The 27,732-nt window shown below is 36.7% G+C and overlaps 4 pseudogenes; 2 read left to right on the forward strand and 2 right to left on the reverse strand.

The window, feature by feature from the left end:
• Positions 1–6: 6 nt before the first annotated feature.
• Positions 7–12,679, reverse strand: FRG2HP (FSHD region gene 2 family member H, pseudogene; annotated as a pseudogene).
• RARRES2P9 (retinoic acid receptor responder 2 pseudogene 9) lies at positions 9,829–10,461 on the reverse strand (annotated as a pseudogene).
• On the forward strand, positions 12,745–13,776 carry AGGF1P9 (angiogenic factor with G-patch and FHA domains 1 pseudogene 9; annotated as a pseudogene).
• C2orf69P4 (chromosome 2 open reading frame 69 pseudogene 4) lies at positions 17,908–18,447 on the forward strand (annotated as a pseudogene).

Genomic DNA, 27,732 nt, shown 5'->3' on the forward strand with positions numbered 1-27,732 from the left:
AATATGTAAAATAAATGACAATATTTATATTACCTTTAATGTCTTACAATACAGTATGACCAACTGAATTGTATAAAGTTTAAATTTAGAAAATTTAAAATGAGACAAATATGAGTCAGGTGAAGGATAAATAATTATGATCAATTACATTTAACATATCTTGACTTCAATTTTATGTAAAAATATTATTAGTAAACACCTTGTGTGGTGATTTCACCATAATTTTATTAAACTGTAAAAATATGTTGACATTTTCCCATGAAGAGTACTATTAAATGTTTGTGGATATTCGTGTTCCATGGATTCAGTGTGGGAGAGTGAGAGGCTACAACCTTTTTTGAATTAAAAGAGAAGAACATAATTTTATATTTATTTGGCTACAATTTAAAATATGCAAAGGCATATGAATGATTGCATCTTAATATTTGTCTGATTATATAGAAATGCCTGACTGTCATGAAACATCCAAGACATCAAATGTCTAACAGGAAATGTATAATTTGTGTATAATCTTAGCCCTCTACAAAATGCAAGGTTCACTATTTTGAGTATATTGTTCATGTTCCTTTCTTATGACTGCTCAGGTTCTGTCATTTATTAACACTGTGCATCTAAAATTGTCACTGCTGGTCATCTGGAAGAATCTGAGAAGTAGCAAGTTCTTGCTCACATTCCCCTGTGAATAGGGTGAGGGTGCACCTAGCCTAAGCCTCATCTGATCTACTGACAGGCTCAGTTATCTCCTGCCCAGGCAAGGGATGGGCTTCTCTATCCAGAGCTGAATCCTCAGGGCCAGGCAGTGTGGCTGAAACAAGCCAGTTCTTAAGAGAGAAGACATAACCTGCCTGGGTGGCCATGGCATAGAAGGTCTGCACCTGGGCACACAGAGGCCCCCAGATCCAGGCAAGCTGAGTGAGCTTCTCCCAGGTCAGTGGAGAATGGACCTGCTGCACCAACACATGGGATGGGTTTTGATAAATGGCCTTTGACTCACCTCGGAAGTTCACTAAGCTTTCCAAAGTGATGACTATTGAACTCCAGGGGCCTGAGACTTGTGCCACTTGCTGCACCCAGTGCAAGCCATGAAAGGACCTCTATGGTGGGCATCACAGGTCTCCTGGATTTCACTGCTTTGCAAAGCAGTGGAGGACTTTTAGTTTCTTTTTCAACATCAAGCTGCACTCTTCTCTTGGACAGTTCCCTGCAGAGGAAGCATGGGAGTGAGAGACTCTCCAGAACAGTGCCCACAGACCCTCATTTCCACAACCTTCCATGCATCTTCAGGTGAACCTCATTTGTCTCTTCTTCTCCTTCCTGACCATCTTAGCACTTTAATGAAGTGAAGCTTAACCCCTTCTGAGTCCCCAGATATCCTCTGAGTGCCAGGATCTCCAAAATTATCTCAGTCACTAAGAAGCCTTCTTGCTGCTCAACCCCAAACAAGTCTTCTGCTTGTTTGCCCTTTAGGGGGGAAAAAAGCAGGATTCTACTTGCTCTGTCTTGGCAGCTGTCTTTGGAGCTGATTCTCCTTTACTTGGAGTTTCCCTCATGCAAGCTCTACTCTGGTTCTATTGATAAAATAATAGTTTGAGTAAGTGCCTCCAATCAAACACCCTAGAAGGCTTAGTTTATCCTGGACACACAGAAACTGAAGTTGCAACCAAACCTGTCTCTCCTCTGTTCTCCAGAATCCAGAATCTGTAAGGCCCTGGCTGCCAAAGAGCTCCCAGTTTTCTTGCCAGGGGAGACTGTGTTGCAGCTCTGTCTCTTTTTACCTTGAAAGAGTCAAATTTTACCTGATCTAGCAGTGCTGTTTCTGACTTTGAGCTTAGTTTCCTCAGAATTCTTTCCATTTGGATTAGGCTTTGATCCTAGTGCAACATGGAGTTTAGGTGACTCACCTCTCCCAGGTACAGTGTCCCATAGTCTGTCTCTGAAAAATATTTGTGAATCAGTCTTTCAAGTGAAGCTGTTCTGCCAGTGTCATGAGTGAATACATTTCTCAAAGTCTCCTCAGAGATCTAAGCCATTTCCCATTCCCAATTTCAAAATAAAACCCTATCAAAGACACATAGCTCAGTATCTCTGATTCCAACCCTCCCTGGAGACTTCATAGGAACAGCCCAAGGCCTTACCTGCCTTTGCATGTGCTTCTCACTGGAATGGGAGGAGGGGGTCTTGCCTTTTTTCTTTCAATGGTTTCTTCTCATCTGAGCCCTTTTCTGTAAAGGAGATCTGTTTGAAAGAAGGCTGGTCAGTGGGGCATTGGATGTACGAGCAGTGGTGAATCAGAGTTTTCATTTCCTTTTCCCATGTTCAAATTCAAGTGAAAGGTGCTCTCTCTCTCACGTCCAGATTCACAGTGTGAGTTACTCTGCTGGACCTGCCTTTTTATATGTCCCTCAGCTGGGTGTGGCTTACTCTTCTTGGCTGTTTTCTTTTTCTGGCTCTCATTAGCGCCTCAAAAAGAAAAGTTTCTTGCTGTAGTTTTATTAGAGACCTAGACACAGTTATTGGGAGACATTTTCTGGGTCTTGCCATAGTGTCAAAAATAAAAACAAACAAACAAACAAACAAAAAAACAGAGCCAGGGGCACAGGAATCAGAAGATAAGGGAATCATTTTATAATAATTTCCCAATTCCTACCTGGAATTATTTATGATACCGCTTATTATTCAAGATGCAGAATTAAACATACCTGTAGAAAGTAAAAAAGGTTCCCTTCAACGTTTCCTTTTTTGTTAAAGAATAATTCATAAGTGTTAGAAATAATAGTTTCTTTTAAAGACTAACTTCCTTCAAGACTCCTTGCTTTGTGCTAATAACTCTTTGTTATGCCCCATCCTATGTAGCTGTTAGATATAAGGGTATGAGTACATCCTATGTACTTGTACTTTAACCAAGATATTTGTTTTAGACTTCATAGCGCACAGCCTATGCCCCTTCCCTATTTTGAAATATTATTACTTTTCTAAGTTTTTTTGCAAGCAACTTCCTGTTTTCCTTTGTTCTCCCTTGCCTTTACCTATTTAGGAGAGTTTTAAGTTATTAGCTAGTCAGGTTTAGCTTAGATTGTGAAGTCCAGCTCCAGCCAATGGAGACAGGACACAGTCGCAGGGACAAGCTGCATAAAGGATAAAAATTGCTTTTCTCCTTTGTTCGAGTGTGCTCTCACCATTGTTCTATCCACAAGGAGTACTCTTTCTGCAAAAAGTAAAATTGCCTTGATGAGAAAAATTTTTGTGTGAATGCTGATTTTTCCTTGCGGCACTGAGGAACAAGCATTCTGTTTCTGAATAAACATTTTATGTATAACAACACCTATATTGAAATGTGTTATACATTTTGCAAAGAAAGAGCATTATACATAGTGTTAAAATAATATACATAGACATTATAATTTCTCAAATGCTTAGAAATGTCAGATTAAAATTATGGTTGATTGTATTAGATACATACATATATGTTAAAAATGTGGAGAAAAAGTAAATACCAAATAAAATGGCCCATTCTACCTTAACATGGGGGAAGATAATTAGATCAAACATGATAGAATCAATGTGATTAGATTAGAGCTGATGGTAATTTAGTCAGCTCATGATTTTTTTTTTTTTTTTTTTTTTTTGGAGATGGAGTCTCACTCTGTTGCCCAGGCTGGAGAGCAGTGGCATGATCTGGGCTCACTGCAAGCTCCATCTCCCGGGTTCATGCCATTCTACCACCTCAGCCTCCCGAGTAGCTGGGACTACAGGTGCCTGCCACCAAGACCAGCTAATTTTTTGTATTTTTAGTAGAGATGGGGTTTCACCATGTTAACCAGGATGGTCTCCATCTCCTGACCTCGTGATCTGCCTGTCTCAGCCTCCCAAAGTGCTGGGATTACAGGCTTGAGCCACTGTGCCTGGCCTCATGATTCTTGAAGTAGCAAAAAGTCTAGGTAGAGAGAGAAGCTTCTCCTGTTTCTCACCTTTCCTGAGTCATCCTGGGAGCTGTATTCTGTTCTATAGAATTTATTCAGTCTCCTTAGTGAAAATGGACTTGGTCCCAAACAGGTTACCCAACTGACCACAAGAAAAACAGCCTAGATCCTGAGCATTCAGCTCCTGTCTTCACACTACAGACACCACACGAGTCCCATCAAAGCCTGGTTATTTCCCAACATCTACCGTTAAGACATATTCCAGAGCAGCCTCTCAAAATTGCCTAAACGAGATGGGACAAGTATGTTGGAGCTCCAGGCTCAGGACAGCTGTCTCATCCCTTCCTACTGAGAAGTCTGTATCTGCTGGTTAGGGCTCCCAAACTATAGAAGGCTTAGTGTATGTCCCAGCAAGTGTCCCCCAAAAGGACCTTCTTGTTTTTCCCTCTTCTAAGAAAAGCATGCAGGAATGAGACCTTCTGTGTTAGGGAATACTTGCCCTCTGCTCTCCAGTTATTTGGTTGACTGATGAACTGATGCCTGAGGAGGGGAAAGATTCAGGAAGAGCCTGTGCTGAGTGAGTCTGTGTTTTCCCAGGTGTGCTGTCTGTGCAAATAGTGGACCCCCAAAAAATATCAGATGGTAGACAGACACTGCCTAACAAAATTGTCTGAATTTAAATAGGATTTAAATGAAACTTATAATATCACTATATATTGATACCATATTATCATATAAAATTTATTTGATATATAAACCATTTTGATATATTATGGTATAATATCATAAAGCAGTCATTCACACAAGAGGAGATAATATTCTTAGGTACTATTAAGTTTATATGTTAAGGTAGTTACAAAATTTAACTCAATTTTCTTATAAAATTACCTAACAAAATTTTATATGTTATCATAATAATACATATGAATTATATCACAAAATATGATGTCACAATGCTTATGAATTATGATGTCAGAATATATTGTGATGTCACAATGTAAACAAATATGATTTCATAATATATTGTGATGTCACAATACATGAATTATGATGTCATGACATATGGTGATGTTGCACATATATTGTGATGTCATGATATACTGTGACATAATGGATGTGAATCATGATATCATAATATATTGTGATGTCATAATATATACAAATTATGCTATCATAATATATCAGATGTCATAATATCATATTTATTTATTATATTTATGATGTTAAAATAACACAAAATTTTTTCAGGTAATTTTATAAGAAAATTCAGTGAAATTTTGTAACAACATTAACATATAAAGAAGCTTACAGTCATGGTGAAAGATGAAATAGGAGCAGGCATAAACGCTAGAAGTGGGAACAGGAAAGATGAGGGAGAGATATGCCTCACTTTTAAGCCGCTAGAACTTGTGAGTACTTCTTATGACAAGGGCAGCACAGAGCCCTGAGGAATCCATCCCCATGAATCAACCACTTCCCACCAGGCCCACCTGTAACATTAGGAATTAAAATTCAATATGAGATTTAGAGGGGACATCTAAACTATATCATATGACCATTAGAAAAACAGATGAAACAGATTCACGCTTTCTACTGTCCAGATACTTTCATTCCAGAGCCAATGGCTAAATAATTGAATTCAACATTCTGTGGTCGGAAGAGAGAAGGGAGGTGTACAGGGGACTTTGGCTACATTTGTTCCACTTCCCTATGCTGTTGTGAGTTCTGATGTCATCTCCTGAAGGGCTATTCATGGACAGAAGAATTATTGCTATTGTGATTATTTCCATTTCTTTAAGCTTAGTAAAAATACATTTTTGAGTTTCTCATATAATATTCCTAAGAAACCCTAAAAGTTTTGGTTAAATTTCTTGTTATTGTGTGTTATAAAAAGTGACAGGGAAATGGCTAAATAGATTGAAATTACACAAACTCTAGGAGTCAAGTTTCTCTTGGGCAGGATTAGAAAAGACAGAACTGGAAATATTCCACCAGCATAGGCATCAGATGCATGGGGCCCACTTTCTGTTGCATCCCTGTTCAGATCCACCCTCTTCCAAGGCCTCATCCAGGTCTGGCCTCACCCTAGAATCTCCTCTCACAAAACTAATTAAATGAGACCAGAAATTTGAGAGGTGGCTCCTGCTGCCTCTCCTGAGCTGGTGCCCACAATTTCCTGAAAATAAAAAGCAGATAAATGTGAGCAAATAATTATCTATTTGTGGGCCACAATTTCTTTTTCATTGAAGGCAGTGCTTCTACAGATATCCCACCAAGTAACCTCTTTTTTTTTTTATTTCTGCAGATCCAGTAGTTGCTCTACAATGCACAAGAAAGTAAATATAAATACCAAAAATCCCTCTGAACAGCTCACCCTTTCTTTCTCTATCCCTTTCATGTGTCTATATAGTTTTTTCCTACACATTTTCTTTTTAAGGTAAATAATTTTAAAAATGAAAGAATAAATGGAAATGCTGGGCCCTTCATTTAAATCCTGGAAATTACAGAACACTTGGCACCCAACTCCCAGGGAGCTATGAGGATTCACTCATGTCACATGATGTTTCCAGCACAGTGCTCTATAACAGACTTCTAAGCACATAGTACATGCTAAATATACATTGTATTAACTCATGTATACATGTTTTCCAAATGCAGAATTACTCAAACATTGATATCTTCTCTAGCCTCTGCAAACTTTACAGAGCCAGCTGAGAATAACACGTTTCTGAATGGTGATTGGTGGTTTCCACCTTGGGCCAAAAGTATTTATGTTGTGGTAAGAGTATTGGGTGTCAGGAACTCTGTGTGCTGTGCCTACTTTCTCTAGCTAGTGCCACCACAATGGATGTACTAGAAGAAACATCAGCATTAAGAGGAGACTTTTTAAAGAAGTCAATTCATGGACCCCTTCCAAACCTGCACAATCACATTACTAAGAGAGAGGCCTGGAATCGGAAATGATTTACATGTACATTGAAACTTGAGAGGCAATTCTTAGCTAAGTGTCTCTCAGTCTAGGCTTCCAACCATAATGACATGACTACTTTAAAGAAATACCATCACCTGTGCCCTCCCCATGGATTTTGTCTGTTGATCTTGGTGGGCAATACATATGATTTTAACTAGGAAGTCAAATTGTCCCTGTTTGATGATTAGATACTATTATATCTAGAAAAATCTAAAGACCACCAAAAAACTTTTAGATTTCATAAAAGAATTTAATAACGTTTCAGGATATAAAAATCAATGTACAAAAATTAGTAGCATTTTTATACACTAATAATGAACAAGCTGAGAACCAAATTAAAAAGTCAATTCCTTTTACAATAGCTGGAAAAAAGGTGAAATAACTAGAAATACAATTTATCATATAGGCTAAAGATATCCACAAGGAAAACTACAAAACGTTGATGAAATAAACTGTACATGACACAAACAAATGAGGAAAACATCCTATGCTCATGGATTGTAAGAATTATTATCATTAAAATGACCATACTTCCCCAAATAATCTACATATTAAACGCAGTTCCTACCAAAATGCCAATGTTATTTAGCATAGAATTAGAAAAAAATTAAATTCGTATAGAATCATATACTAGAAGGCTTTAATAACCAAAACGGCATGGTACTGATATAAATAGATGCATAGATCAAAGGAACAGAATAGAGAACCTAGAAATAAAGCCACAAACCTACACAAAACTGATCTTTTACAAAGTCAGCAAAAATATACACTGGGAAAATGACATCCTATTCAACAAATTGCGCTGGAAAAATTATATTGCCATATGCAGAAGTACAAAATGGGACCTGTCACTCTCACCATATACAAAAACCAACTCAATATGGATTAAAAGACTAAAATGAAGACCTAAAATGATAAAAATTCTAGAAGAAACCCTATGATAAACTCTTCTGGACATTGCCCTGGACAAAGAATTCATGACTAAGATTTCAAAACCAGATGCAACAATAAGAAAAATAGACAAATGGAACTTAATTAAACTAAAAAGCTCCTGAAAAGGAGCTTTTAATTAACATGTGAGCAGACAACTTATGGGATAAGAAAACTGTTTGTGAACTATGCACGTGACAAAGAACTAATGTGCAAAATATACAAGGAAATCAAACAACTCAACAAGAATAAAACAAGTACCCTCATTAAAAAGCAGGCAAAGTATGGGAACAGATTTTTCAAAAAGAAGACAATGATAGCCAACAAGCATGTAAAAAATGTTCAACGTTGCCAATGATCAAAGAAATGCCAATTAAAAACCACAATGAAATACCATTTTACACCATTCATAATGGTTAACTATTAAAAAGCAAAAAAATGAAAGATATTGGCAAGGATACAGAGAAAAGGGAACACTTATACATTGTTTGTGCGAATGTAAATTTCTACAACCTCGATGGAAAACAGTATGGGGATTTCTTAAAAAACTAAAAATAGAACTTCCATTTGATTCAGCACTCCCTCTACTGGGTATCTATCCAAAGGAAAATAATTTATTAATTAAAGAAGATACCCATACTCATATGTTTATTGCAGCACTATTCACAATAGCAAGGATATGGAGTCAATTTAAATTTATCAATCAATGATTGAATAAAGAAAATGTGCTATACATTTATACATTTATGGAATACTATTCAGCCATAAAGAATAAAAACATTTTTTTTGCAGCAACATGAATGGAATCGGAGGCCGTGATTGTAAGTGAAATAAATCAAAAACAGAAAATCAAGTACTGCACTTTCTTACTTCTAAGTGGGAGCTCAATAATGCATACACTTGGATATAGAGGCTGGAAAAATAGACGCTGAAGACTGAGAAAGATGGGAGGTTGGTAGAGGGGTTAGGAATGAGAAAATACCTAATTGGGACGATGAGCACCGTTCAGATGATTGTTACACCAAAAGTTCATACTTCATCACTATGCAACATGTCCATGTGATGAAACTGCATTTGTACCCTCTAACGTATTAATAAAGAGAAAAACAAACTTTCATCAAGAGGGCAGACTGAATAGCCCTCATAATTTTCATAAATATTTAAGCAGAAAAATAATTTTAATAAAAATAAATAAAAATAATATTGTATTTTAAGAATGGTGTGAAAAGATAATTTGATGAATTAGAGTAGTTAGTACTTAGCACATACAATATGTTAGGCAAGATTCTAAGCCATTAGATATTTGTAGACAGAATATCTGACAGTGTAAAATAAATAACACAAAGATTCATGGGCAATGACAAATTGACATTTTTTCAATTATATTAGATGATATTAAAACCATTATAAAATTTACTGTTTTGTATCATAATAAAGAATCATAAATGTTAAATAACTTCATTAAAAAGTTTAACTAATTAGGCATACAGATACATGAGCAGCACGTTTACCAGTAAACAGAGGGTATACATTATTTTCAAAGACCAAAATGATTTTATTTATTTATTTATTTTGGTTAGGGAGCAGCTTTATTTGCTGGGGATATAGTGGGGTTCTCTCTCTGGGAAGTGGGGTCTTCCACTGGACACCCCCGGCAGTGGTCCAGGAGGCGCCATGCAATTCAGTGCTGGGCTCAGCTGAGGTCCGGGCCTTGGAGAAGGCGAACTGTGCAGGGAAGCAGTAGCTGTGGTATCCTCACCGCCCACTCCGCCCGGCTGCACTGGGTCTCCTGGTGCTCCTCAGACTCCCGCCAAGCCTGCGTCTCTGTAAGGCAGTCATCCATCCGGCCCAGAACCTTATCCTCGGAGCCCAGTTTGACGCAGGCCAGGCATTTCCGCTTCCTCACCTTGGGCTGGACTTTGCACTGGGGTTTCATCCATTCCTTCTTCTGGCGCTTGTCTGCCCGAGCTTAAATTCCAGCCTCACAAATGTTCCAGCTAGGAAGGGCGTGTCCACGGCGCCATCCACACTGCTCTCCCAGAAGGCACGGGCGGGTGGATTCCTCCAGGGCCACCTGCAGGCCCCAGCGCTGGGCCCTTTGAGCTCCGCCCAGCTTAAGGCCCCAGCACCTACCCACCCGGCCAGCGGCATCCGCAGCCGTCGCTTGCTTCCACCGTCACCCCGGCCCTGCGAAGCGGGTGTGCGCCCCTCAGCTCTCCGAGCCCGCCGGGAGCCGCCTCCTCCCGTGCCCTGCCCCTGGGGGAACCATGCCCGCAGAACGCTGGGCAGAGGCGAAGGAACCGGGAAATGTTCCTTCCTCCAAATTGACCTTGGGGTCTGCCTGGTCCTCTCCATTCCCTCCCACCCTGCCCACACTGTTCACTGGGCCCTTCAGTTTCAGCAAAGTTCCCTGCCCCGTGCCTGTGCCGAGAAGCAGTCCTGTTGCCCACTCTCACCTTTAACCTCTTTTCTGGCCCATTCTGTCTCCCCACTCAGTCTCGGACACGACCCGTCTCCTCCCTACTGTCCCCAGAGCCTCTCTCTGTTTCTCTCGCTCAGCCTCCTCCCTGTTTGCTTCTCCCTCCCCATCTGGAATTTCCTGACTCCCATGGGGTGCCCCCCATTCTGGGGCCCAGACAAAACAGATACAATTATTTTAAATGGAAACGTGAATTCCATTGAATTCATGACAGCAGTAATTCATCTGGTCATATTTTAAAGAATTATGATAATAGCAACTATCAATTTAAAGTGTTAACCAGGGTTAAAAATAAAACCCTGTTATAGCTAACAAACTAGTAAAGTTGCAGGATACAATATTAACATGAAAATCAGTTGCATTTTGATACAGTAACAGCAAAATATTCAGAAAAAGGAATAAACAAAACAATTCCACTTACAGTATTATCAAATAGAATGAAATAATTCATTAAATAGAATGAGTTTAACCAAGAATGTTAAAGATCTGCATACTGAAAACTATAAAATGTTGGTAAAAGAAAACGAAGAATACAAAATAGGAACTATATCCTGTGTTCATGGATTCTAAAAATTAATATTGTTAAAATATCTATACTACACATAGTTATCTACACAGTTAAATAAATTTCTTTTTTTATTATTATACTTTCAGTTCTAGGGTTAAATTTCTATCAAAATTTTAATGCTATTAAAGTAAATGTAGAACAAACAATTGTAAAATTAGTATGGAGCCACAAAAGAATCCAAATAGCCAAATACTGAGAAGAACAAACAGGCTGAAAGCCTAAAATTTCCTGATTTCAAACTATATTACGAAGCTATAGTCATCAAAATAGCATGGTACCTACATAAAAACCAATGGAACAAAATGGAGGAGCGAGAAATAGACTCACGCATATACAGTCAACTGTTATCACAGAATTAGAAATAGAAAATGACATCAAGAAATGGTGTACAAAAAACTAGATATGCACACAGAAAAAGTGAGCTCTTATCCCAAAAAATTAAAATAAATTAAGGATTTATACGTAAGAACTGAAATCATGAATTTTCTATAAAGAATAAGGATAAAGCTCCTTGTCATTGGTCATGGCAATGATGTTTTGGATTCGACACAAAGAACACAAGAAACTAAAGCAAAAATAAAAAAGTGGAACTATATCAAAGTAAAAAGTTTCTGCACAATAAATAAAACAATCAAAATATAGAGATAGTATGTTGGATGGGAAAGAATATTTGTAATCCATATGTGGGATAATATGATACTATCCAAATTATATGTCACACTAATCAATATAAAAAAACCCACAGCAGAAAAAAACAAAAACCAATTTTATTATCGATTGGGCAAAATATCTAAATAGCTATTTTTCCAAAGACTTAAAAATGGACAGCAGATATATAAAAGCATTCTCAACATCACTAATTATCAGAGTAATTAAACTCAAAATCACAATGAGATATCACCTTATCGTGGTGTTAGGATAGCTATTATAAAAAAGTCAAAAGATAAAAAGTGTTAGAGTGCAAAGAAAAGAAAATATTTGTACACTGTTGCTGAGCATGTCCATTGGTGCAGCCATTGTTAAAAAAATTATAGAGATTCCTTAAAAATTTTAAATTAGAAGCACCATTAATCCCAATTTGGAGTATGTAATCAAAGGACATAAAAATAGTATCGCCAAGGGTATCTGTACTCTTCTGATACAAATAAATGGATAAACTGTGTAAGAGAGGTAATTTCAGCTGTAATAATGAAAATTTCATTTACAACAATATTGATAAACCTTGAAGACATTATGCTAAGTGAGATAAGTGAAATACAAGAAACACAAATACTGCATGATTTCGTTTGTGGAATCAGAGAGAGAGAGAAAGAAAGAGAAAGAAGAAAGAAAGAAAGAAAAAGAAAGAAAGAGAGAGTAGAATGGTAGTTACCATGGGCTAGGAAGTGGGGAAAAGTGGGAAGATACACACATCTTAAAGCACTCTATTTTACACCCTAAATGCATACACTTTTCAATGTGTAAATCATAGCTCAATAAATGTGGAAAAATTTTAAGATTAATCAGCAGGTCCTATCTAGCCACATGTAAACTTTATTTAAAACTCTCTTGGCCACTGTTTCTGACTCAAGCCAGGAAGGGCCCGAGTGCTTCTGGCCCCTTGACTTCTCCTACGCTCCTCCTGCTGTTACTATAGCTGAGGAAGATGTAATAGTTCCCAGGAGTTTTCCGGTTTCCAGACCTTGCAGATCGGGGAGGGCCATCAGCTGCCCCCTTGCTTGTTGCCCACAGCCCCGTTTGGCTCCAGGCAAATGTGTCAGGGCATCCTGGTGGGAGCCACAGCAGCCATCTTGGCGAAGCTGCCTTTCCATGCCTGCATTCCCGTGGCCTCTTGGCTCCCCAACTGTCCATTATGGCCCCCGTGCAGCCCTCCTCACATTACCAGTGAAGGGAATGTAACTGCAGAAGATACTAAGGAGGAAAATGAGAAAAAAAAATGTCCCGTGTATTAGAGTAATTGTCATTAGATCACCTGTGTTGCATACAGGGTCACTCTTTATCATTACTGCTGTAAAACCTGTGGCAATTGGAAGAGAAAATGATCCTGAGCATACTCTTTGAATCCCTGAAGTTGGTGTCAGTAAGTTTCATGCAGAAATTTATTTTGACCATGACTTACAAAGTTATGTCCTTGTAGATCAAGGCAGTCAAAAGAGAACAGTTGTTAATGGAAAATGGATTGTTCAACTGGAAATTAATGTGACCCTTATGTACTTGAGCATAGTCATGAACTGAAAATTGGAGAGACTGTGTTACCCTTTTACACTCATCCTAGCACTGATACCTGGGCTGGCTGTGAACCACGACAAGTTAGAGCTCACCCTTGCCTTGATAAGAAAGATGAATTGTTAATTGGACCAACTCTAAGCAAGGAGAAAAAATAGTTGGAAATAAGAAAATAATTAAAGAAAATACAATTAAAATATGTTTACAGAAACAGACTATGAAGATAAATAGACATTGAAGAATCTAAAATATAAAAATAGAGGTGGAAAACATAGTGAGCAGATTGGAAGTGAAGGAACCTTCCGAAGAGATAATTCTCCTACATCTGTTCATTCTGAAATTACCAACAGCAACAAAAGTAAGATGTTGCAGAAGATGGGTTGGATAAAAGGTGAGAGCCTGGGGAACGATGGCTGGGAATGAAAACTCTGATTCAGCTTCAGCTTCAGCGAACACCTGTAGGCTTGGGGACAGGCAATCCATCCTCATTTGAAGATGTTCACCTTCTCCAAAACAAAAACAAACATACTGGGACAAAGCATGAGATAGGTTTGCTGAAAACTTCCCAGAAACTAAACGTTAAAAAAATGACCCAGGGACCATGACTTGGGTAAAAGGGACTGTAGAGTGTAGGTTAATCACAGAGGAAAACTCAAGCTTTCTTAAAAATAGAGTTTGGAAAAGTTTGGAAACTCTTATCGATTTTATTTTATTTTATTTTATTTTCTGCAGAGCTTTTATTCCCCAAAGACTCTGTGGCACACAGGTACTGTGTCACAGTTTACCCTTTCCTGATTCAGAAATGTATAATAAAGTTTGGTTTGCAGCTTTTAAAAACCATTTTTTAAACTAATAAATAGTGACTGAATCAAGTTATGCAGTTAGTGGACTAAAGTTTACAGGGCACAGATGAGCCTATCAAACTTCATTATTTTATTTTGTCATCCATATAAGCAAAAAGCCATATAAGCAAAACTCAGGTAACCACTAATAACTTAAATGTACGTTTGTCTTTTTCTCCATATATTCACAGTAAGATGCACAGCAAGAGAAACATCAAAAGTTTATAAAAATAAATCTGACTATATGCATCATTGTTTATGCCCTTTAGAACCTAGGTAAAAGAACCTATTATACTTGATATAGCATAAATAATGTTATTGAAGATCTAATAAACTGGTGACATATTGTAGAAAATTAGTGTTTTACTGACTTCTTTGAAGAATTTGTTTATTGGTACTACATATTCAGCATTTATATTTGACTTGTTTCATAGCTAACAAGATATTTAGATATGAACAACTGAGTAGAGTATTGAAATAGTGCGCTGGCATTTGTAGTTTTCATAAATATTATTGCAGGCAATGGAATTGCACCAGAGAAATCTGATTTCTAGTGCAAAAGGAATACTTAGCGAGGACCTCAAGTTTAAGATATTTATTGAAAATGTCCTCAATTGCAATACAAACATCATAAAAAAATTTAAAACGCTCTTTTCAATAAATTATGAATTAAACAAAAAATTTAAATGATAGCTTTTATGGAGGCAGGGAAATGCTAATGAGGTAGAATGGCAATTGAAGCCGAAAGATCTTAATTCAGGTAAACAATTTTGCCCATATTAGTTTTATGTTAAAGGAAACAATGATTCTGACTATATACTATTTACTGCAGTAAAGTATTTCAGAAATTTGTGTATAATACATGATTAATTTTCTAATGGTAAAAAAAAGAACCACATCCTTCAAATTATTACAGTACTGTCTATTGAAGAGAGTGGTATTTCAAACGAAGAAACTTGGCATTTCTCATGAGGTGGTCATCTATGCCACAGAAAATCTATGTAAAATATTTTATTCATGTATGCAAATGTTGATATTTCTGCTTTTCAGGAAAATAACATGCTCTAAAAACTTAATGCAGATAACTAAAATTACCAATAAGTTGCAAGAATTCACAAAATGCCTAATATAGTTGAAAGAAAAATATGGAAACTTCTCAGGACCAGAAGAAAATAAAGGTAATGATCCAAAGAGACATCAACCTAAGAGGTACTGACCCTTCAGATGGATCTGATCACAAGGATATCAGTTCTATGTGGGTTGTTCAGCTTCTGACAAAGCAAATGGAATAAACATAGAAAAATTGCCTGTTGGCATCTGGAGTGTGCTGTCTTCCACATGTGAGAACTTAATTATAAATTATGTTGCAGAAAAGGATATACACTACTAGTGTGAAGCATTAGATCAATTATATGGCTCATAAAACTCAGATATGAAGTTTATATTAAAATGTTTGCCAATATCGGCCGGGCGCGGTGGCTCACGCCTGTAATCCCAGCACTTTGGGAGGCCAAGGCGAGCTGATCACAAAGTCAGGAGATCGAGACCATCCTGGCTAACACGGTGAAACCCCGTCTCTACTAAAAATACAGAAAATTAGCCGAGCGCGGTGGCGGGCGCCTGTAGTCCCAGCTACTCGGGAAGCTGAGGCAGGAGAATGGCGTGAACCCGGCAGGCGGAGCTTGCAGTGAGCCCAGATAGTGCCACTGCAGTCCAGCCTGGGCGAAAGAGCGAGAGTCCGTCTCGGAAAAAAAAAAAAAAATGTTTGCAATATCATGAAAAAACAAGAAACCAAAATAATGTGGAAAAAAACCTACGAGCTTGTCAAGTCGTATTTGGAAAAGAGGCAAATGGAAAGTGAAGTATTGAAAATGTAGTAAAACAATTTAATTTCTGGCATACAAATTACATTATTAAAATAGACTGAGCTAATGAGAGAACTACGAAACTGAAATGCTGGGTACAATTAATGTAGTTATATACTCTATAGAGGCAAATTAATACAAAATACAAATATATTTATACATGAACACTAGATGAGAAGAAATAAAAAAACATTTAATTGTTTTACTAGACTATAAACAGGAAGGCAATATTCAATGAATTGGTGGCTCATACGTTTCAGAAATTAGAGACACGACATGAATCTTATCAAAGTTTAGAGTGTAATGAGTCAAAAAATAAATTAAGAAATACTTAAAAGAAATAATGGTTTTGGTTATTGTGAATACTGCTTCAATAAACATGGGAGTGCAATTATCTTTTGGACATACTGATTTTATTTCCGTTTGATATATACCAAGTGGTGAGATTGCTGGATCTTATACATGGTAGTTCTATTTATAAATTCTTGAAAAACCTCCATGATGTTTTCCCTAATGGTTGTACCAATTTACATTCTCACCAATAGTGTATAAGTGCCCACTTACAGATGAATGAAGGAAATGTTACACACACACACACACACACACACACACACAGGAATAATGTTCAGTAATAAAACAGAATGAAATTCTGTCATTTATATCAACGTGGATGAACCCAGAGGACATTACGTTAAGTGAAATAAGCCAGTCAGAGAAAGAAAAAGAGCACATGATGTCACCCATATGTGAAATCTAAAAGAGTTGATCTCATAGAAGGAGAGAGTAGAATGGTGGTTACCAGATGCTAGGGAGAGTGAAGGGATGAAGGAATGGTGAGGGGTTTGTCAAAGTTACAAAGTTACAGTTAGATAGGGAGAATAAAGTCTGATGTTCTGTTACACAGGGACTACAGCTAATAATAAAGTACTGTTTATTCTAACAGCTAGAAGAGAGGATTTTGAATTTTATTAGCACAAATAAATAATAAATGTTTAAAGTGCTAGTTATGCAAATTACCCTGATTGGGTCATTATACAGAATATACATACATTGAAACATCACACTGTACTCCATAAATATGTACAATGATTATGTGTCAATTATAAATAAAATACATCTTGAAAAAAGAAGAATGATCAAAGTGCATGACACTGAAAAGAAGAAAAACTCTTAAAAGCAGTGAGATAGAAGACAGATAACTTGTGAAGCTGATGGTAAACTCTTACCTTTGTATCAAGTCAGAAAACAGAAAAATTAATATCAATAAAATATTAAAATAAAAGCTTCTGGGCAGCGTACAATCTATTAACAGAGTGATAAGACAACCTATAAAATAATAGAAAATATGTGCATCTGACAAGGAGTTAATATCCAAAATATATAAGAGACTCAACAGCAATAAAAATAAAAAGAACCCAACTAAAGAGTGAGCATAAGACATGAATAGACATTTTTCCAAAGAAGACACAAGGAAATGCTCAGCATCACTTATTATCTGAAAAATGCAATCCAAAACCACATAAGATAGTACCTCATTCCATTTAGAATGGCCATTGTCAAGAAGACAAAAGATAACAAGTTTAGATGAGGATGTGGAGAAAAAGGAACACTTATACACAGTTGGCATGAATGTAAATTTAGTACATTTTTAGATGTATTTTTTATTAGAAACTTCATGAAAAACTATGCAGGTTTCTCAAAACAAAAACAGAAACAAAACAAAACAAAAATGAAAAACCTAAAAATGAAACTACGATCTAATCCAGCAATTCCACTATTGAGTATATATTAAAAGGAAATAAAATCAGTATATTGAAGAGATACTGCACTCCCATGTTTATCATGGCTCTATTGACAGTAGCCCAGATATGGAATCGATCTTAGTGTCCATCAAGGGATAAATAGATAAAGCCAATGTGGTGTACATACACAATGGAATAGGATTTAACCACAGAAATAATGAAATCTTGCGCTGCGGGCTGACGCCGCTCTCTGGCGTAGACGACCCCTGCGCCCAGACTTCCGGTCTGGCCGAGTACCCGACAGGGGGTATCCTGCTGCAGACCCTGCTTCAGGATCACCCACCCTCCGCCTCCCAATAGCTCGGGTTTTTTTTTGCGGTCGTGGCGGCTGCTGCTCCTACTGCCGCAACTTGGAATCCAAAACGCTTCGTGGTGCTCTCAGGACAGAACCATGAACCCAGCGCAGCTGCGGTGCGTGACACCGCCAGGCACCGCCTGCGGAGGCTGACGTGTCCTCCTTGGCCTGAGCCCACCCGCAGCGCAGCGCCGAGTTGCTCCTGCTAGCGGCTGCCGGGGAGGGACTGGAGCGGCGGGACACCTTCGGGGAGCGTGCAAAGGTGGAACCGCAGCCGCCGCCACCTCTCTCTCCCCTGGGGATGTGCAAAATTACCATGAAATTATGACTTGTCATCCTGCGAGTTACCAGTTGGAAAATTGGAGTCTAGAAAATGTTGCCCCCATTTTAGCCCACCGGTTCCCCAATGGCTATATTTGGGTGATAAAGTGTTCCCGAACGCATTTGCACAAATTCAGCTGCCGTGATAGTTTTCTGAAAAGTAACATATTTGGTTGCCCAGAACACAATACTACATATATTAATTTTATAACATTATATATACTATTATATATGCACTATTGAACAACTACAATGAATCAAGCACTGCTATAAGAACTTTGTATTCATTATCTCTCAAGAATTCTCTTTGAGGTAGATTTCAGTATCTTCAAGAGGCTAATTTATAAACAATACATATATTTGAATAAGAAACTAAAACATGAAAGGCTTTTAAAATTACAATAAGGAATAAGGAATAAGGAAAGAGCATTATAGAAGTCTATAGAGTATGCATCTTTACAGAAAGTTTTAAAATTTAGAAAGTTGAATAATGTATTATTTAGAGACACCTACATATGTAGTATAATTAATAATAAAAGTCAAAGGAATTATACTTTCTCAAAACTGAGGATGAATGATTATTTTCTGTGGTAGAGAGGCAAAGAGTTATATTTGGGAAAGACTGTGTAGACAATACAGACAGCTTCAAATGTAGGAGTAAAGTTTTATTAAGTAATTGATAGGTACAGGGGGCTGAATTTATTTTTCTACAAACACACACACACACACACACACACACACACGATTTGGCCCTGTATATTCATGAATACCACATCTGTGAATTCAAACCAACCTTGAATAAAATGTAGTTAAGCATACAATGTTTACTTTTGTACTGAACATGTGCAGACATTATTGTCATTATTCCCTCAGCAATACAAAACTATTTAAATAGCATTTATGTTTCATTAAATATAATAAGTAATGTAGAGATGAATCAAGTAATATGCAAGAGATTGTGCATAGGTTATATTAAAATAATCTTTCTTTTTATATAAGAGACTTAAGCATCTAGGATTCTGGTATCCCAAGATGGCCCTGGAACCAATCCCCTATGGATACCTGTTTATCCATAAGGACAACCATATAAGGGACAACTGTGTGTGTGTATTTATATGTATAATTTTACACATACAAATATATAATATACTAGTGCTTAATATTATAATTTTTATTATAAGTGCTTGATATAAACAAGCATTAAGTTTATATGGCATACAGTACAATGTTTCACTTAGTCATTTTCCATCTGTACAACAAACCCCCCATGACACAAGTTTACCTACGTAACAAATCTACACTTTTACACCTGAACTTAAAATTATAATTTAAAAAATGTTATTTTTCAAGATCCTATTGATGACATTAAGTGGACACTTACTGAAAATGTATTTTATTGATGTTTAATATATAGATTTATGCAGTCTCATTTTACTTTTTTGTTGTTGTTGCTTATGCTTTTTATGTCATATCCAAGAAAGTATTGTCAAGATCAAAGTAATAATTCTCTCACCGTGTAAGACATATTTGGAATATTTTATTCAAAAAATTTTATAGTTATAGTTTTTACATTGAAATATTTAAGATAGTTTTTATATACGGTGCAAGAGAAGCATCCTACATTGTTATTTTTCATTTGGTTGATTGTCAGTTTTCCAACATCATTTGCTGAAAAGACTATTCTTTCTCCATTGTGTGGTCATATCAACCCATGCGCAGGTCATCTGATTATATTCACAAGGGTTTATTTTGGGGTTTTCTGTTCTGTTTCATTACCTCTTTCTCTTTATACTAGTACCTTACTGTTTTTATTTCTGTAACTCTGATATGTTTTGAAATCAGAAAATATGATGCCTTTAACTTTATACTTCTTTTCTAAAGCTATGGTGGCTATTCATGGTGGCTTGAGATTTCATATACATTTTAGATATTTTTTATGTTTCAGCAAAAACATACCATTGTGATTTTCCTAAGGATTACATTGAACTTGTATGTCATTGTGGGCAGTATTAACATTTTAACAATATGAAGCCGTCTGACTCTTGAACAAGAGTGGGTTCAAGGGTGTATTGCTTAAGTTCTGCATATTTTGGGATATGACAGTTTTCCTTCTGCTTGTAGTTACTAGTTTCATTTTGTTGTGGCCAGAAGGAATATAGTCTCAGTCTTTTTAGATTTAATAAGACTTGTTTTGTGTCCTAATGTATTGTCTTTCCTTAAGTGTGTGTTATGTGATTGGGAATATTGCTTATTCTGCTATGGTTGACTGAAAAGCTCTATATATGTCTACTAGGTCTAACTGGTCTTTAATGTTGTTCAGGTTTTCTTTTGTATTGATCTTTTATCTGTTTTTTCTATTTACTACTAAAAGTGGAGTATTAAAGCCTCCCACAATTATTGTGTCGATGTATACTTCTTGCTTTGTTTCTGTCAATATTTACATATTTGGGAACCCTTATATTATGTGCCTATTTATATTTATACATGCTGGAGATTCCTGGCAAATAGGTGCTTTTATCATTACATAATATTATCCCTTGTCTCTTCTGACAGTTTTAATCTAAGGAGTATTTGGGTTAAAATAAGTATGGTGACCCTGTCCTATTTTGGTACTATTCATGTGGATTGTCCTTTTTCATCCTATTTCTTTCAGCCTATTTAGTTCTTTAGACCTAAAGTGAGTCTCTTAAAAACACCATATTTTTGGATATTGTTTATTGTGAATCCATTTATGCATTTTATGCCTTTTGTATAGAAAGTTTAATTGACTTATCTTTAAAGTAATTACTGAATAAAATAGAATTTCCATTTCCATTCAATTATTTTCTGTTTCTTTTAGTTACGTTTTTTTCTCCTTTCCCCTCTTACTGCCTTTTTTGGTCATTGTTGATTTTGTAAGGACATATTTTGATTTATTTTTTATTTTCTTTTGTGTACCTTTCATAGTTTTTTTTTTTTTTGTGATCACCAGGAGGAATAGAGAGTATATAAAACACTTTAAAATTATATCCATATATTTTATCTCATAACAACTTAACTTTGTGCACAAAAAGATACCTCTTTACATCTTTTCTTTACCTTATCAAGTTAATACAACAAAATTTTATCTTATTATTTTTACAACATAGATTTTTATATTGTGTATTTAACAAGCATATGCAAATTTTTAATGTTTTTACAATTTTATAGCAGAATTATGTGTATTTTATGCACCATCATTATGATAATAGAAAATTCTCTATTTTTTTGTATACTTACCTTTAACAGAGAGTTCTATATTTTTATATGGCTTTATAATTAGCTGTCTAGCATTGTTTTATTTTTCAACATGAAAGTCTCCTTTTAGCATTTCTTGTATGGATGTTCTAGTGATGATGAACATCATGTATGTTTTTTAAATTTTAGTAACAGGTGGACTTACTATGGCTATTGTACTAGTCTTTTTATAACACTGTTATAAAAACTATATGAATCTGAATAATTTATAAAGAAAATAAGTTTAATTGACTGACAGTTATACAGGCTTAACAGGAAGCATGACTAGGAGGGCTCAGGAAACTTACAATTATGGCAGAAGGCAAAGGGAAAACAAGCATGTCTTCACAATGGTGGAGCAGGAGAGAGAGAGAGAGAAAGGGTAAGTGCCACACATTTCAATCATCAGCTCTAAGTAGTCACCCACTATCATGAGAACAGCATGGGGAAATCAACCCCCATGGTTTATCAGTTTCCTCCCTTGACACCTGGGGATTACAACGTGACTTGAAATTTGGGTGGAAGCATGGAGCTAAAGCGTATCAGTTATATTGTTACTTGTGTTTCTTGTTTATAGCTATTTTTTCCTAGTTTTCTCTCTTTCTGCTTTTCTTGTGTCTCATTGATTCTTTTCTTTTGTGGCAATATGCTGTGGTTCCTTTCTCATTTTCTTTGCTGTATCTCTACAGGTATTTTTCGTGGTTATCAGGATGATTAAATAAAACATCTTGAAGTTACAATATATTTTCAGCTGGTAACAAATTAACTTTCATTGCATACAAAATTTTCTCTCTTTGCATCTCTCTTCAAACTTAAATTACATTATATATTTCTGTTTTTATATTTTATATAACATATCCATTAACAAAGGTTTATGATTGTTTTTATGCTCTAGTCTTTCAGATTCTATAAAAGAAATAGAATGCTTTATGCACCATTATTATGATGCTACAGAATTATATATTTGTATATGTACATACCATTCTTAGAAAGCTATATCTTTATATAATTTTGTTGTTGCTTTTTTTTAAGGCAGGGTCTCACTGTCACACAGGCTGGAGTGCAGCTGTTTGACCACAGCTCACTGAAACCTAGAACTCCTAGGCTCAAGTGACCCTCCCACTTTAGCTTTTTGAGTAGCTGGAACCACAGGCCTGCAACACCATGCCCAGTTAATTTTTAAAATTTTTATAGAGATGGAGTCTCAACATGTTGCCCAGGCTTGTCTTGAACTACTGGGCTCATGCAATTCTCCCAGAGTGCTGGGATTACAGGTGTGAACCACCACACCTGGGCTGATTTTGTGTTTCTGTCTGGCATCAAGACAAACTCTAGGATATGAATGGGGTTGTATATTGTATCTGAGTTCAAGTATAAATGGTGAAAAGAAAAGTTAGAAGCAGGTGCCACAGGAAAATATAGAAGGGGACGGAATAGGTGGGGTGAGTAAGTTTCCCTGAAGAACGTGATATGTGTTGGGTCCTGGTAGATGGAAAGTGAGCAGGGAAGAACATTCTAGAAAGAGAGAAGAGCCCAGAGGCCCAAAGCAGAGACAAATGGGGGGTCAGTGGCGAATTTGGTACCTTTTTTGGTAGTAATAAGATTTTTGCACCTCTATGGTTGCCTGGTCTTCAATTCTACTTGCAGAATCTGTGCATGTCATTTAAACTTTTTGAGCTCTGGTGTCTCATTTCAGCCTCTTGTTGTTTTGGAGGCAGATCTCAGGTCCAGGAGGCCCAACTTGATGAGCTCTTGGACCAAATAAGGCATCAAAGGCATGAGGAAATACTAAAGTTTCATCTAAGAAAGGCCAGAGATTTTCTGAAGAACATGAAATCCAGGTTGGCTGACGAGACCCTGAAAGACAGAAGAGGCTGGCCTGAAATTTATAATTATGGTCACAGGCAGCCCACTCAGGAGCCTAGTAGGTTAGTCAGCAAGCTGAGGACTAAAGTTTTGCCTCTAACATAAGGGAGTGTTGTGGTCATTTGCAGCTTTACTCTGAGCCCATACAGAAGCTTCAAGAGAGAATGTTGAAAAGTTTATGGAGGAAGGTTCTAGGACAATGTACTTTAAAGTGTGACATAAAGTGTGTGTTGAAAAAGGTAAAATTGATGAGTCTTTTTATACATAGAAGATAAATTGTTATTATCTTAAGCAAGACTCTTATAATTATGCAGTGTTTTATGTAAGCCTCGGTAATTACAAGAAAAAAATTACAATAGATATAAAAAAGAAAAAGGATCAAAGCATATAACAACAGTAAAAGCAAAAAAAAAAATTAGCAAAAGCACAAAGGAAGACAGCATAAAATCTACTAAATGATCAGACAGCAATTAACAAATTGGCAGTAATAAGTACTTGCCTATCAATAATTTTTTAAATATAAAAGTCTAATTATCTAATAAAAACACGCTGTTATGGTATAAATGTCCCCTCCAAAATTTATGTTAAAATTTAACTCCCTTTGTTACAAAATTAGGAAGATAGACATTTAAGAATTTACTGGCTGGGTGCAGTGGCTCACGCCTGTAATCCCAGCACTTTGGGAGGCTGAGGCAGTTGGATCAGGAGGTCAGGAGATCGAGACCATCCTGGCTAACACAGTGAAACCCTGTCTCTACTAAAAATATAAAAAATTAGCGGGCGTGGTGTTGGGTGCCTGTAGTCCCAGCTACTCAGGAGGCTGAGGCAGGAGAATGGCATGAACCCGGGAGGCGGAGCTTGCAGTGAGCCGAGATGTCGCCACTGCACTCCAGCGTAGGCGACAGTGTGAGACTCCGTCTCAAAAAACAAAACCAAAACAAAAACAAAAGTTTGTAGGGACATGGATGAAATTGGAAACCATTATTCTCAGTAAACTATCGCAAGAACAAAAAACCAAACACCGCATATTCTCACTCATAGGTGGGAATTGAACAATGAGATCACATGGACACAGGAAGGGGAATATCACACTCTGGGGACTGTGGTGGGGTGGGGGGAGGGGGGAGGGATAGCATTGGGAGATATACCTAATGCTAGATGACGAGTTAGTGGGTGCAGCGCACCAGCATGGCACATGTATACATATGTAACTAACCTGCACAATGTGCACATGTACCCTAAAACTTAAAGTATAATAAAAAAAAAAAAAAAAAAACTAAAACAAAAAAACAAAAGCCGGGCGCGATGGCTCACGCCTGTAATCCCAGCACTTTGGGAAGTCGAGGCGAGTGGATCACGAGGTCAGGAGATCGAGGCTAGCTTGACCAACATGGTGAAACTCTGTCTCTACTAAAAATAGAAAAGTTAGCTGGCGTGGCGGTAAGCGCCTGTAATCCCAGGTACTAGGGAGGCTGAGGCAGGAGAATCGCTTGATCCTGGCAGGCGGAGGTTGCAGTGAGCCAAGATTGCACCACTCCACTCCAGCCTGGGCGACAGAAAGAATTTGCTAGGCCATGAGGGCTCTACTCTCATGAATGAATTAATGTCGTTATTTCCAGAATGAATTAGTTGTCGTGAGAGTGGTTCCATTATAAAAGTAAGCTCTCTGGTGTACACCTTCTGTCCTCGTTATGCCTTTGACCATTTTGTGACGTGGAAATATGATTCTCATCAGATGGCAATGGCATGTTCTTGGACTTTCAGCCTCTAAAGAAATGAGCTAAGTAAACTTCTATTCTTTATAGTTTACCCACTCTAGGATATTCTGTTTTTGAAGCAGAAAATGAACTGAAACATTCACAAATGTCTAAAGAGATTAACAAATTTACCAGTATATTTTACATAAGAAATTTTTTAGATTTAAGGGCATGCATAAGTTGCTGGTTAAATAATAAAAAAATACTATGCCAATAATAACTAAAAGAGTATATTAGTGGCTATATTTATATAAGACAAAATAGACTTCTAGAAAAAAATCTGTCAGGAGATATAGAGAAGTTGACTATATAATGATAACAAGCTGATCTGTCAAAAGGCTATAACTATATATGAACCCAACATTGGAGCACATAAATATATAAACATATGTATATATGTATATAATATAATAATAGTATGTCTATATAATATTTATATAAGAATGTATTTTATATATGACTGTAGAAAAAAACATAATTATTATCGTAATAGAAGATGCTATTACTCTACTTAAAACGTTTTAAGTAGTAAGAAAACAATGTACTTGCAAAGCACTATAGAACAAGTGCACCTAACAGTGATAAACAGAATATTTCATTCAACAGTATTTGAATACACATTCTTCTTGAGCACACATGGAATATTATCCAGGATATATCGTATGTTGGGCCAACAACAACAAGAAAATCTCTAAAAATTTAAAAAGATTAAAATTAATGAACTTTTTAAATTACAGTTTTTTAAAACTAGAGATCAATAAGAGAAAAAAATTTAAAAACTCACAAATATGTGGATATTAAACAACATATTTCTGAAAAACACATGGTCAAAGGGGAAAAGAAAAAAGAAATCACAAAGTATCTTGAGAAAAGTAGAAATAAAAACACAACATACAACAACTTCTGGGATGCAAAAAAGCAGTTCTAAGACAAAAGGTAACACTGATATATTTCTATAATAAGAAGAAAGAAAGATCTCAAATAAGCAGCATGACTTTGATTTGCAAAAACCTTGAAAAAAACTAATTACTCTCAATGTTAACACAATACACAAAATAATAAAAAAAGAACAGAGATTCAATAAAAACTTGAAAGACAACAAAAAACATAAAAGCAGATAATAATTTACATATGAAAGTTATCTAAATTAAATAATTTAAAAAATGAGAAAATTTTCTTTTTTATTTTCAAATTGAAAGATTAAATCTCTTATTTTTATTTTGTGTTTATGCTTACAATAAACTGGTTGCAAAATTTTATCCTGAACTCTTAGACATTCTATTTCCAGTAGGGTTTGTATTTAGGCACATGGGTTTGTGAAAGAGGGTTTGTGGAGAAGAAAAAAGCAGACTAAGAGAAAGTGATACAAAAAAACCCATGAGTAGGGAACAGTGCATAGTTGGTGAAAGGACTGGTTAGTGCTATAGACACTGGCACACACAGGGTAACTCTGATTTCTAAATGTGTGTATGCAGGCAGATGAGATGGACAGAGGGTCGAGAAGCCTAGGCTACTGGAGAAAATAGGTCACGGTGCAGATGCAAGATCTGGGCATAGAAGTAAGCCATGAGTCCACTGGGCACTTATGTAGCATATTAGTGGAAAACTCTAGAAGGAGAGGTTCTGTCAGCACAGTTTCTCAGGGTGATGCCTTGTCATGGGAGGGGTGTATCTACATCATTGCCTAGTGTGTATGTGTGTGAGTGTGCAGGAATCACTTTATAGCAGCAGGGTGAGGAGAGGAGTCTTCCTTCAGAACTCCATCCCTTTTAATCCTCAGTTCCCTCTGACCCCTAGATGGGACCTATTGTCACAAGACAATTCACACTGTGACAGCATGTGTGTAAAAGAATAGAGTCTTTATTCCCCAAAAGACCCACAGTATACCTCCAGCCGAGGCTGCTGTGATGTCTTTGTTCTAACACCAAATACATGGAGTTTGTTGAACACCAACCAATTCATCAACACCAACTGGGAGTTTAACATCTTAATTCTGACACCACCCAGAGTTGGCATAGACTCCACAAGTTCAGGACTCAGTCCCACAGCACCATCCCCACTGCACATGCCTGTCACAACGAACATGGGCACGTCTATGCTTCTGAGCATCTATCTATAAATCATAAGCTCCCATAACCCTTTTCATGAAGTTTAATAATTAATAAAACTACTCACAGAACTTGGCAAAACATTTCACCTATGCTTGCCAGGTTATTATAATAAATACAGTTCAGAAAAAGCCAAATGCAAAAAATGGATACAGCAAAGAAAAGCATAAAAGAAAGACAGGGTGGGTAGTGAGTCCTGGTAAATAGTGACATTTAAGAAAACTCTCTAATTCTTTGTGTTCTGTGAGAAAACTTACTGCAGAGAAACACCTTTACCATTGTTACCTAGATGGTACATCCTGTTTTAGATATCACAGATTCATAGATTCTCCACATTCCCATTTGCTCCTCATAAACAATTAAATACTTTTGTCTTCAGAGTTCAGAAGAAAATACTTGTTAGGCACAGGTTGCTTGTTTCTTTTTTCCCCCGGGACCCTGGCCTCTGCTCCGTCTTCAGTCTGAGTAAACATATAACCATACAACCCCTTTTATGCCCCTCCCAAGAACAGGCTGATTTCAGGGTG

The sequence above is a fragment of the Homo sapiens genome, chromosome 16 (assembly GCF_000001405.40).
Source record: "Homo sapiens chromosome 16, GRCh38.p14 Primary Assembly".
In the NCBI taxonomy this organism is placed as follows: domain Eukaryota; kingdom Metazoa; phylum Chordata; class Mammalia; order Primates; family Hominidae; genus Homo; species Homo sapiens.